Raw genomic sequence first — 13,398 nt, 5'->3', positions numbered from 1 at the left:
GGTTACAGTGAGCCGAGATCATGCCACTGCACTCCAGCCTGGGCAACAAGAGTGAAACTCTACCTCAAAAAAAAATATATATATATATATTTATATATTATATATATATAATTTATATATTATATATAATATATATTATATATAATTTATATATTATATATAATATATATTATATATAATTTATATATAATATATAATATATATTATATATAATTTATATATTATATATAATATATATTGTTTTTATTTATATAAATAATATATATTTACATAAACATATTTATATAAATATATTTATGTATTTCTGTAAATATAAATATAAATATTTACATATAAATATAAATATAAATATTTACATATAAATATAAATATAAATATTTACATATAAATATAAATATAAATATTTACATATAAATATAAATATAAATATTTACATATAAATATAAATATAAATATTTACATATAAATATAAATATAAATATTTACATATAAATATAAATATAAATATTTACATATAAAATAAATATTTACATATAAACATAAATATTTACATATAAATATAAATACATATAAATATAAATATTTACATATAAATATAAATATATTTACCAAACTGAATCCAGCATCACATCAGAAAAGCTAATCCAACATGATCAGGTAGGCTTTATTCCTGGGATGCATGGTTAAACACCCTCAAAAACTAGGCATCAAAGGTACATACCTCAAGATAATAACAGCCATCTATAACAAACCCACAGTCAAGATCATACTGAAAGGGCAAAAGCTTGAAACATTCCTTTTGAGAACCAGAAGAAAACAAGGATACTCATGCTCACTATTCCTATTAAATAAAATATTGGAAGTCCCAGCCAAAGCAATCAGGCAGTGGAAATAAATAAAAGGCATCCAAATAGGAAGAGTGGAAGTCAAATGATTTCATTTCACAAATTATATAATTCTATACTTAGAAAAGCCCACAGTCTCTGCCCAAAGGCTCCTAGATCTGGAAAAAAAAACTTCAGTAGTTTCAGCATACAAAATAAATGTATGGAAATCAGTAACATTTCTATACACCAATAACATCCAATTGAAAATACAATTATATTCACAATAGCCACCAAAAGAATAAAATACCTGGAAACACAGCTAACCAGGAAGGCAAATGTTCTCTACAATGAGAATTACGAACCATTGTTCAAAAAAATTAGAGATGACAAAAACAAACAGAAAAACATTCCTCGCTCATGGATAGGAAGAATCAATATTGCTAAAATGGCCCTGCTACTGAAAGAAATTTACTTTTGAATTCAATGTTATTCCTATTAAACTACCAACAACATTTTTTTGCAGAATTTTTTAAAAATGAAAAAACTTATTTGAAACAAAAAAAGAGCCTGAATACTCAAAGCTATTCTATGCAAAGGAACAAAGCTAGACTCATCATACTACCCAACTTCAAACTACACTACAAGACTACAATACCTAAAAGAGCATGGATACAGGTACAAAAATAGACACAGAGACCAAAGGAACAGGCTAGAGAACCCAGAAATAATTACCATTCAGGACACAGGCATGGGGAAGGACTTCATGTTTAAAACACCAAAAGCAATGGCAACCAAAGCCAAAATTGACAAATGGGATCTAATTAAACTAAAGAGCTTCTGCATGGCAAAGGAAACTACCATCAGAGTCAACAGGCAACCTACAGAATGGGAGAAGATGTTCACAACCTACTCATCTGACAAAGGGCTAATATCCAGAATCTACAATGAACTCAAACAAATTGACAAGAAAAAAACAACCCCATCAGAAAGTGGGCAAAGGACATGAACAGACACTTCTCAAAAGAAGACATTTATGCAGCCAAAAAACACATGAAAAAATGCTCACCCATCACTGGCCATCAGAGAAATGCAAATCAAAACCACAATGAGATACCATCTCACACCAGTTAGAATGGTGATCATTAAAAAGTCAGGAAACAACAGGTGCTGGAGAGGATATGGAGAAATAGGAACACTTTTACACTGTTGGTGGGACTGTAAACTAGTTCATCCATTGTGGAAGTCGGTGTGGCAATTCCTCAGGGATCTAGAACTAGAAATACCGTTTGACCCAGTCATCCCATTACTGGGTATATACCCAAAGGACTATAAATCATGCTGCTATAAAGACACATGCACACGTATGTTTATTGCGGCCTTATTCACAATAGCAAAGACGAAACCAACCCAAATGTCCAACAGTGATAGACTGGATTGAGAAAATGTGGCACATATACACCATGGAATACTATGTAGCCATAAAAAATGATGAGTTCATGTCCGTTGTAGGGACAGGGATGAAATTGGAAATCATCATTCTCAGTAAACTATCGCAAGAACAAAAAACCAAACACCGCATATTCTCACTCATAGGTGGGAATTGAACAATGGGAACACATGGACACAGGAAGGGGAACATCACACTCTGGGGTCTGTTGTGGGGTGTGGGGAGGGGGGAGGGATAGCATTGGGAGATATACCTAATGCTAGATGACGAGTTGGTGGGTGCAGCGCACCAGCATGGCACATGTATACATATGTAACTAACCTGCACATTGTGCACATGTACCCTAAAACTTAAAGTATAATAATAAATAAATAAGTAAATAAATAAATAAATAAAAATAAAGCCACACATCTAAAACCACCTGATTTTTTCACAAAGCCAAGAATAACATACAATAAGGAAAGGACTCCCCCTCAGGCACAGTGGCTCATGCCTGTAATCCCACCACTTTCAGAGGCCAAGAAGGGTGGATCACCTGAGGTCAGGAGTTTGAGACCAGCCTGGCCAATATGGTAAAACCCCATCTATACTAAAATTACAGAAATTAGCTGGGCGTGGTGGAGGGTGCCTGTAATCTCAGCTACTCTGGAGGCTGAGGCAGGAGAATCACTTGAACTTGGAAGACGGAGGTTGCAGTGAGCTGAGATCGTGGCACTGCATTCCAGCCTGGGCAATAACTCGAATCCATCTCAAAAAAAAAAAAAAAAGGAAAGGAAGGAAAAGACTCCCTATTCAATAAATAGTGCTGGGATAACTGGCTAGTCATATGCAGAAGATTGAAGCTGGACTACTTCATTTATACCATATATAAAAATTAACTCAAGATGGATTAAAGACTTAATATAAAACCTAAAAGTGTAAGAACCCTAGAAGAAAACCTAGGAAATACCATGCTGTACATTGGCCCTGGCAAAGACTTCAAGACTCTAAAAGCAACTGACACACAAGAAGTTGACAAATGATACTGGATTAAGCTAAAGAGCTTCAGCACAGCAAGAGAAACTATCAACAGAGTAAACACACAACCAACAGAATGAGAAAAAAAAAACTTGCAAACTATGTTTTTCATCAAAGCTTTAATATGTAGAATCTATTTAAAAAATTGTAATTCACCAAGCAAAAAACAAACCTTACTAAAAATGAAAAAAGAACATGAACATACACTTCTCAAAAGAAGACAGACACGCATCCAACAAGCATATTAAAATGCTCAATGTCACTATCATTAGAAAAATGCAAATCAAAACCACTGGATACCATCTCACATCAGTCACAGTAGCCATATTAAAGAGGCAAAGAATAATAGATGCTGGTGGGTAGTGAAGAGAAAGCTTATACACTGCTAGATGGAATGTAAATTTTTCCAGCCACTTAGAAAGTACTCTGGAGACTTCTCGAAGAATTTAAAACCAAACTACCATTTGACCCACCAATTCCATTATTTCATTATTTGGTATATACCCCCAAAACAGAAATCATTCAACTGTAAAGACACATGCATGCTTATGTTCATCACAGTACTATTACAATACTATTTACAATCATACTAAGTACTAGTACTATTGTACTAGTACACAGTACTATTTACAATAGCAAAGACATGGAATCATCTGATGTCCTTTAATAAATAAATGGATTTTACAAATGTGGTGTGTGTGTGTGTGTGTGTACACAATGTAATATATTACACAATGTAATATAGATATATATTACACAATAATGTAAATACACAATCATATTTCATTATATATACACACGCACACACACAATGAAATAGTATTCAGCCATAAAAAGATAAAATTCCGTTCTTTGCAGCAACATGGATGAACCTGGAGGACACCGTGTTAAGTAAAATAAGCCAGGCATAAAAACAAATACTGCACATTCTCACTAATATATAGAATCTAATAAAGTTGATCTCATAGGAGTAGAGAGTAGAATGGTGGTTACTAGAAGCTAGGGTGTGCAACAGAGTGCAAAATGAGGAGAAAATGGTCAATGGGCAATAAGTTACAGTTAACAGGAGGAATATATTCTAGTGCACAGTAGGGTGACTATGGTGAACAATTTTGTATTGAATATTTCAAATGGCTAGAAAAGAGAGTTTTGAATGTTCTCACCACAAAGAAATAATAAATCAGATGTTGGATATGCTAAATCCCCTAATTTGATTATTACATATATAAACACATATCTAAAGCTCACATTGTACCCCATCTATATGTAAAATTATTGTGCCAATTAAAAACAAAATTAAAGGCGAGGTGTGGTGGCTCATGCCTGTACAAATCCCAGCACTTTGGGAGGCTGCGGTGGGCTGATCACCTGAGGTCAGGAATTCGAGAACAGCCTTGCCAACATGGTGAAACCCCGTCTCTACTAAAAATACAAAAATTAGCTGAGCATGGTGGCGGGTGCCTGCAATCCCAGTTACCAAGGAGGCTGAGGCATCAGAACTGCTTGAATCCTGCTCAATGAAATAAAAGAGGATACAAACAAATGGAAAAACATTCCATGCTCATAGGTAGGAAGAATCAATATCATGAAAATGGCCATACTGCTCAAGGTAATTTATAGATTCAATGCCATCCCCATCAAGCTACCAATGACTTTCTTCACAGAATTGGAAAAAACTACTTTAAAGTTCATATGGCACCAAAAAAGAGCCCGCATCACCAAGTCAATCCTAAGCCAAAAGAACAAAGCTGGAGGCATCACGCTACCTGACTTCAAACTATACTACAAGGCTACAGTAACCAAAACAGCATGGTACTGGTACCAAAACAGAGACATGGATCAGTGGAACAGAACAGAGCCCTCAGAAATAATGCCACATATCTACAACTATCTGATCTTTGATAAACCTGAGAAAAACAAGCAATGGGGAGAGGCTTCCCTATTTAATAAATGGTGCTGGGAAAACTGGCTAGCCATATGTAGAAAGCTGAAACTGGATCCCTTCCTTACACCTTATACAAAAATTAATTCAAGATGGATTAAAGACTTAAACATTAGACCTAAAACCATAAAAACTCTAGAAGAAAACCTAGGCAATACCATTCAAGCATTACCATGCCCAAACCTAGGCATGGGCAAGGACTTCATGTCTAAAACACCAAAAGCAATGGCAACCAAAGCCAAAATTGACAAATGGGATCTAATTAAACTAAAGAGCTTCTGCAAAGCAAAAGAAACTACCATCAGAGTGAACAGGCAACCTACAGAATGGGAGAAAATTTTTGCAACCTACTCATCTGACAAAGGGCTAATGTATCCAGAATCTACAATGAACTCAAACAAATTTACAAGAAAAAAACAAACAACCCCATCAAAAAGTGGGCAAAGGCCATGAACAGACACTTCTCAAAAGAAGACATTTATGCAGCCAAAAAACGCATGAAAAAATGCTCACCATCACTGGCTATCAGAGAAATGCAAATCAAAACCACAATGAGATACCATCTCACACCAGTTAGAATGGCAATCATTAAAAAGTCAGGAAACAGCAGGTGCTGGAAAGGATGTGGAGAAATAGGAACACTTTTACACTGTTGGTGGGACTGTAAACTAGTTCAACCCTTGTGGAAGTCAGTGTGGCAATTCCTCAGGGATCTAGAACTAGAAATACCATTTGACCCAGCCATCCCATTACTGGGTATATACCCAAAGGACTATAAATCATGCTGCTATAAAGACACATACACACATATGTTTATTGCGGCACTATTCACAATAGCAAAGACTTGGAAGCAGCATAAATGTCCAACAATGATAGACTGGATTAAGAAAATGTGGCACATATATACCATGGAATACTATGCAGCCATAAAAAATGATGAGTTCATGTCCTTTGCAGGGACATGGATGAAATTGGAAATCATCATTCTCAGTAAACTATCGCAACAACAAAAAACCAAACACCGCATATTGTCACTCATAGGTGGGAATTGAACAATGAGAACACATGGACACAGGAAGGGGAACATCACACTCTGGGGACTGTTGTGGGGTGGGGGGAGGGGAGGAGGGATAGCTTTAGGAGATACACCTAATGCTAAATGACGAGTTAATGGGTGCAGCACACCAGCATGGCACATGTATACATATGTAACTAACCTGTACATTGTGCACATGTACCCTAAAACTTAAAGTATAATTAAAAAAATTGCTTGAATCCAGGAGGCAGAGGTTGCAGTGAGCTGTGATCATGCCACTGCACCCCAATCTGGGCAACAGAGTCAGACTCTGTCTCAAAAAAAAGAATTAAAAAAGGAAAAATGAGGTCATGAGCTAAACATCTGCCCCCAAACTGTATGGAAAGGTATATGAATAAAGATCATCACCACTTACCAGAAGAGAAACGTGTAAGAAAATCTTCAGTAGCAATTAGTACTATGGTAGGAAACCTACACTGTAATTGAGGAATTGCTGAAGCCTGAGAGTGGACAAGCGTGAGAGTTAAAATCTCCAGGGAAGCCAGTCTTAGTCCCTCCTTCTCACTTTTGAAGAGTTTTATCGTCAGAAGCCCTACCAGATTCTTAGACTAGAGGTAGAAAAATCTCGTGTTTCTGGCATAGGGAAAGGAAATGTACCCATTCTAAAAGCCACCTAGAACATTCTATTCTTCTTACCAAGCTCTGCCATCAGAAAACTATTTGAGCAAAGCCTAACCTACTGGGGTTTTGTCAGAGTTTATATGACCTAAGTTAAGGGAAATACCCATCACCAGACTGCTGCAGTCTTCAGTGGGGAAGAAGAGAAATATTCAACTTCAGACCACTTGAGCCCTTCATGTGAGAGAAGAAACATATGCAACTCCCATTCCCTCTAGCCTTCCTGTTAAACCTAAGGGGGTGGGAAAAGAAATGTGAAGCATTTTTTAAGATGACAAGACAGAGGCACAGACTCACTACAAGACACAAAACTCAGGGCCTGGAATGGAGATATCCTTCTGTTCTCAATAAATGCATCAGGACAAACTGATGGGAGTGGAAGTAATAAGCAGCCTAGGTTTTCCTCTCTGTATCTCATGCTCTGTGTCACAGACGTGTCCTCTGGAGGACAGAGCACTTCTCCTATGTAACTCTGAAAGAAGTAACATTTTTCTGACTTCCAAAATACTTTTGCTTTAGTTCAATTCAGAAAAATAAAATCCACTAAGGAACATATTTGAAGAACACTACAAATCACCTGTAGGGAACCCATAGAAACACATTAGGAAATGTGATATTGTGTTGTGCACATTTTGAAGGCTGGATTATTGGGAGGTATATTTTGTTGACAAGTTCTGAGAACATACAATTCATTAGGCAGAAGCTACGTAGAAAACTGAGCTTTCACATTAAAAAGTTTGGAACCCAGATGGTACAATAAAAGTTTAGAAATTGTACACTCTGTGGCTGTGTTGATGTTTTATATTATTTGATGTGGAAATGAGTGAAGAGGCTAGATTATCCAGAATGTACCTGAGATAATCAGAGATAACCAAGGAGAAGGTAAAATTAAAATGATCGTGGTAATTATTTGGAGCACTAAAGAACAAACATTGATAATGCGAGATCTGTTTTTTCCCAGATACATGAAATACATTTCTTTGTTATTAAGATGAACATACTTTAAGCACAATGCTTCTGTTATGCTTAAAAATACCTTTTTTCAGCCAGGTGCAGTGGCTCATGCCTGTAATCCCAGCACTTTGGGAGACCGAGGTGGGCGGATTACAAGGTCAGGAGATCGAGACCTTCCTGGCTAACACGGTGAAACCTCATCTCTACTAAAAATACAAAAACTTAGCCAGGCATGGTGGCAGGTGCCTGTAATCCCAGCTACTCAGGAGGCTGAGGCAGGAGAATGGCATGACCCCAGGAGGCAGAGCTTGCAGTGAGATGAGATCATGCCACTGTGCTCCAGCCTGGGCAACAGAGCGAGACTCTGTCTCAAAAAAAAAAAAAAACAAAAAAAAAAACCTTTTTTCCCAAGCTACCATTGGACTTTTAGCCAACACCTTTTTCCTTTTCTTCAACATCTTCATATTCCTTCAGGATCAGAAATCGAAGCCCCATGACCTCATCAGCTGTAATTCGGCCTTCATTCATGTAGTGATGTTCCTCACTGTGGTGGATGCTTGGCCTCCAGATATGCCTGAATCACTGCACTTAGGGAATGAGTTCAAATTTAAGTCCTTGTCCTACATAAACAGAGTGAGGATGGGCCTATGTATCTGTAACATCTGTCTCCTGAGTATACACCAGGCCAACACCATCAGCCCCAACAACTTCTGTTTGGCAAGGCTTAAACAGAAATTCACAAATAACATTATCATGTCATCTTTTTTTTCTTTTTTTTTTTGGTCCATCAATTTGTCTTTCAGTTATAACATAGTATTCTTTACTGTGGCTTCTTCTAATGTGACCCAGAACAGTCTACCTAAGGGCAGCAATACTGTTCACTTTCTCCCATGAAGTCCTTCATGAGAAAAGTATTTTTTACTCTGACATTATCCAGGGATGTCTTCATTATAGGAATTACACTGCATTCAATTGCACACATGGTGATCCTTGTGTCCAGGCATGAGACGCAATCTCAGCACCTTCACAGCATCAGCATCTCTCCACAAGCCTTCCCAGAGAAAAGGGCTGCTCAGACCATCCCGCTGTTAGTGAGCTACTGTCTGGTCATGTGCTGGGTGGACCTCATCATCTCATCTTCTTCAACCCTGCTGTGGACGTGTAACCCAGTCTTCCTGAGTATGCAGAACCTTGTGGGCGATGTCTATGCCACTGTTGTTCTACTGGAACAAATCAGCTCTGATAAAAATATAGTTGACATTCTCCAAAATATGCAAAGTGCTATAAAGCTTTAACAAGTTGGCGATGGAAAACATTTCTAAAAAATAGTCTTCTCCTATAGTTCAATTGTTCAAGTAGCCCTGGAGTTCTTTTTATCTTATTTAATAAAATGCATGGAATCATACTTTTATTATATTTATATGCTTTCAAAACTGATGCTTCTAAGGACCATGTAATTTCTTTAATTCCAGTGTCTACCATGGGTTGACATTTCTGTATCAAGTTTCTTACATTTTTATTTTCATTTTATCTTGGTAGTAGAAAATGTTTCTCTCAAGGTATACTCTTTTTTTTTTTTTTCGCTCTGTAGCTGAGGCTGGAGGGCAGTGGTGAAATCTCAGCTACTGCAACCTCCACCTCTTGGGTTCAAGCAATTCTCATCCTCAGCTTCCTGAGCAGCTGGGATTACAGGCACGCACCCCCATGCCCAGCTAAATTTTGTATTTTTAGTAGAGACGGGATTTCACCATGTTGGTCAGGCTGGTCTTGAACTCCTGACCTCTTGATCCACCCACCTCAGCCTCCCAAAGTGCTGGGATTACAGACGTGAGCCACCGCACCCTGCCTTGAAGTATACTCTTAACAATCTTCTCTTGGTAATCAAATTTCTCAATGTTTTTACTTTTGAATATATTTTAATTTACTCTTATTTATGAAAGGTACTTTAGCTAAATATCCAATTTTAGCTTTTATACTATGCTTGTTCATTAGAACCTCCCTGACTGGAAATATGTCAATTTGGATTTTACATTTAATTTAGAATTTATTTTAAAGGGTTTTAAATGAAATTTACATGTAATTAGATACTATATGGTTACACAATATTTTCCCACATGTGCTATAATTGACAAATAAAAATTGTATATATTTAAGGTATACAATGTGGTTTATGTATATGTAAATATATACAATAAAATCACTACAATCAAGCTAAATAACATACTCATCACTTCCCATAGTTACTGTTGGTGTAATAAGAATATTTGAGGTCTTCTTTATTAATAAAATTTACCTATACATTAACTGTAGCCTCCATGCTGTACATTAGGTCTCCAGTACTTATTCATCTTATAAAACAGGTTTGTACTATTTGACCAATATCTCATTCCCCCAAGCCACAGCCCTTGGTCACTACCATTCTACTCTCTGTAACTATAATTCAAGCCCTTTTTTAGATTCCACATATAATTGAGATAATGCAGTATTCATCTTTCTGTGTCTGGCTTATTTCATTTAGCATAACGCCCTCAAGATGATCCATGTGGTTGCAAATGTCAAGATTTTTTTCAAGGCCTGAATTGTGTCTCTCTCTCTCTCTCACACACACACACACACACACACGCACATACATACAATACGTATATGTAACATTTCCTTTTTCTTGTTGTTGTTAGATATAACAACAGGCTGGAGTGCAATGGCATGATTATAGCTCACTGTAACCTATAAATTTTGGGTATAAATTATTCTCTCACCTCAGCCTCCAAAGTAGCAAGGACCACAGCAATACACCACCATGCCTAGCTAATTTGTAGGGACATGGTCTTGCTATGTTACCCAGCCTATGGAGTTTCACTCTGTTGCCCAGGCTGGAGTGCAGTGGCACATTGGAGGCTCACTGCCACCTCCACCTCCCAGGTTCAGGCAATTCTCCTGCCTCAGCCTCCCGAGTAGATGGGACTACAGGTGCCTGCTGTCACCCAGCAAATTTTTGTATTTTGAGTAGAGACGGGGTTTCACCATATTGGCCAGGCTGGTCTCAAACTCCTGACCTCGTGATCCACACACCTTGGCCTCCCAAAGTGCTGGGATTACAGGTGTGAGCCACTGCACCCGGCCCCTTATCTATAGTTAATAATGCTTCAATCAACATAGGAGTGAAAATATCTCTTCAAGATAGTGAATTTATATTCTTTGGATATTTACTTAGATGTGAGATTGCTGAATCACATGATAGTTTTATTTTTAATTATTTGATGAACCTCCATGCCATCTTCCATAACGGCTGTACCAATTTACATTCCTGGTGATAGTGTACAAGGTCCCTTTTCTCTATATTCTTGATAACACTTGCTTTCTTTTGAATTTTTGATAAATATCACCTTAATATGTGTTTGAATGCTAACTCACTGTGGTTTTGATTTGCATTTTTCTCAGAATTACTAATGGCTTCTTTAAAAAAAACTAGTTTTTTGGCTACTTTTTAAAAGTATGTGTTACGTTTTGTTGTTATTTTTATTTTGGGGGCTTAAGTTTTATGAGTTTCTTGCAGATTTTGAACATTAATCCTTTATCTGATATTTGGCATACAGGTATTTTTCTCCAATTCTGTAGATAGCGTTTTAATGTCTATGATGGTCTTTTGCTATGCAGTAGAAACTTTTTAGTTTGATGTAGTCCTACTTTTTTTTCTTGTGCTTTTGGTGTCAAATACAAAAAAAACTATTGCTAGGATCAATGCCAAAGAATTTTGCTCAGTGTTGTCTTCTAGAAGATTTATGGTTTCAAGTCCAATGTTTAAGTCTTTAATATATTTTAAGTTAATTTTATGTAGGATGTAAAGGTTGGGTGCAATTTGTTTTTGCATATGGATATCCCATTTTCCCATCACCATTTATTGAAGAGTTTATTCTTTCACCATTATGTGTTTATATGCCTTTGTTGAAAATTTGTTGACCATACACAGATGGATATATTTTATACATATCTAAGCTCTCTATTCTGTTCCATTGGCTTATGTGTTTGTGTTTATGCCAATATTTTGCAGTTTTGATGACCACAGCTTTGCTATATAGCTTGAAATTAGGCAGCATACTGCTTCTAGCTTTGTCCCTCTTGCTCAAAATTGCTTTATTTGAGGTTTTTTGTAATTCCATACAAACTGTGGATTTTAATTTTTGTTGAAAATGCTATTGAAATTCCGATAGAAATTGCTTTAAATATATACACCAATTTCAGTAGTATGAATGTTTTTTTTTCTGGTTTTGTTTTTTTTTGAGATGGAGTCTCACTTTACCACCAGGCTAGAGTGCAGTGGCACAATCTCGGCTCACTGCAACCTCCGCCTCCTGGGCTCAAGCAATTCTCATGCCTCAGCCTCCCGAGTAGCTGGTATTACAGGCATGTGCCACCACACCCAGCTAATTCTTGTACTTTTAGCAGGGACAGGGTTTCACCATTTTGGCCAGGATGGTCTCGATCTCCTGACCTCATGATCCACCCGCCTCGGCCTCCCAAAGTGCTGGGATTACAGGCGTGAGCCACCATGCCTGGCCAGCATGAATGTTTTAATACTAATTTTTCTAATCCATGAACACTAAGTATTTTTAATTTGTCTTTTCTATAATTGCCTCCACTAATATTTTACAGTTTTTGTTGTACAAATCTTTTACCTTCTTTATTATATTTATTTCTAAGTATTAGATTGGTGCAAATGTAACTGTGGTTTTTGCCATTACCAGCCTAATATTTTATTATTTTAGATGTTATAGTATATGTAACTGTCTTCTTGATTTTTCCCAGATATTTGTTGTTGGGGTATAAAAATGCAATTGATTTTTTGTACATTGATATAGTATCCTGCAAACCTACTGACTTTGTTTACTAGTTCTAAAATTTTTTCATGTAATGATGAGCACACTGGCCTGTGTTTACACATTAATTGATCATTTTTATTAACATATCACAGTGCCTAAAAGTGTGCTCTGTTGTATTTTTGCTGTGACAAATTCTATGGCATCTTTCCCTCCTAATCTTTTTTTAAATGCTTTTGTTTGGTATTTGATAAGAATGTGTCTATGGTTACTTTTCAACTGTGCAACACATTTATCTCCATGCCGAGTCAAACTTTCTAATGAAGTTAATAGTTTTATGTACATTTAGTTATTGTAAATCAAAACAGTAAATTTTTATGATAGTTTTAAAGTTACTAAGATTGAGAATATGTCAATTTTTCACTGCTCATGAATCTGTGGGTTCCTTAAACAATTATACATAAGGTCTATATATATGTGTGTGTGTGTGTGTGTGTGTGTGTGTGTGTGTGTGTGTGTGTGTAATGGCTTAGAATCTTGCCTAACATATTGTATGCACTAAGCAAGTACTAGTAAAATTATTGATCAAGTTATCATCTTCATACCATTCTTCAAATGGCATATTGTTTGTTCTAATTAAAAACTATGTTTCTGTCTTATGTTAAGTAGCAACAAAAATTAGA

The 13,398-nt window shown here is 36.4% G+C and overlaps 2 pseudogenes across 1 annotated transcript in view; one reads left to right on the top strand and one right to left on the bottom strand.

Annotated features, from left to right (window-relative positions):
* Positions 1–13,398, bottom strand: part of GTF2IP8 (general transcription factor IIi pseudogene 8) — a 63,889-nt pseudogene that overhangs the window by 17,004 nt on the left and 33,487 nt on the right. The window contains exon 5 of the transcript XR_007066431.1: positions 5,876–5,882. The product of XR_007066431.1 is annotated as a general transcription factor IIi pseudogene 8, transcript variant X1 (transcript). The remainder of the gene's footprint in view (positions 1–5,875; positions 5,883–13,398) is intronic.
* Positions 8,280–9,196, top strand: VN1R74P (vomeronasal 1 receptor 74 pseudogene; annotated as a pseudogene).

The sequence above is a fragment of the Homo sapiens genome, chromosome 18 (assembly GCF_000001405.40).
Source record: "Homo sapiens chromosome 18, GRCh38.p14 Primary Assembly".
In the NCBI taxonomy this organism is placed as follows: Eukaryota; Metazoa; Chordata; class Mammalia; order Primates; family Hominidae; genus Homo; species Homo sapiens.
This window is presented reverse-complemented; position numbering and strand designations above follow the sequence as displayed.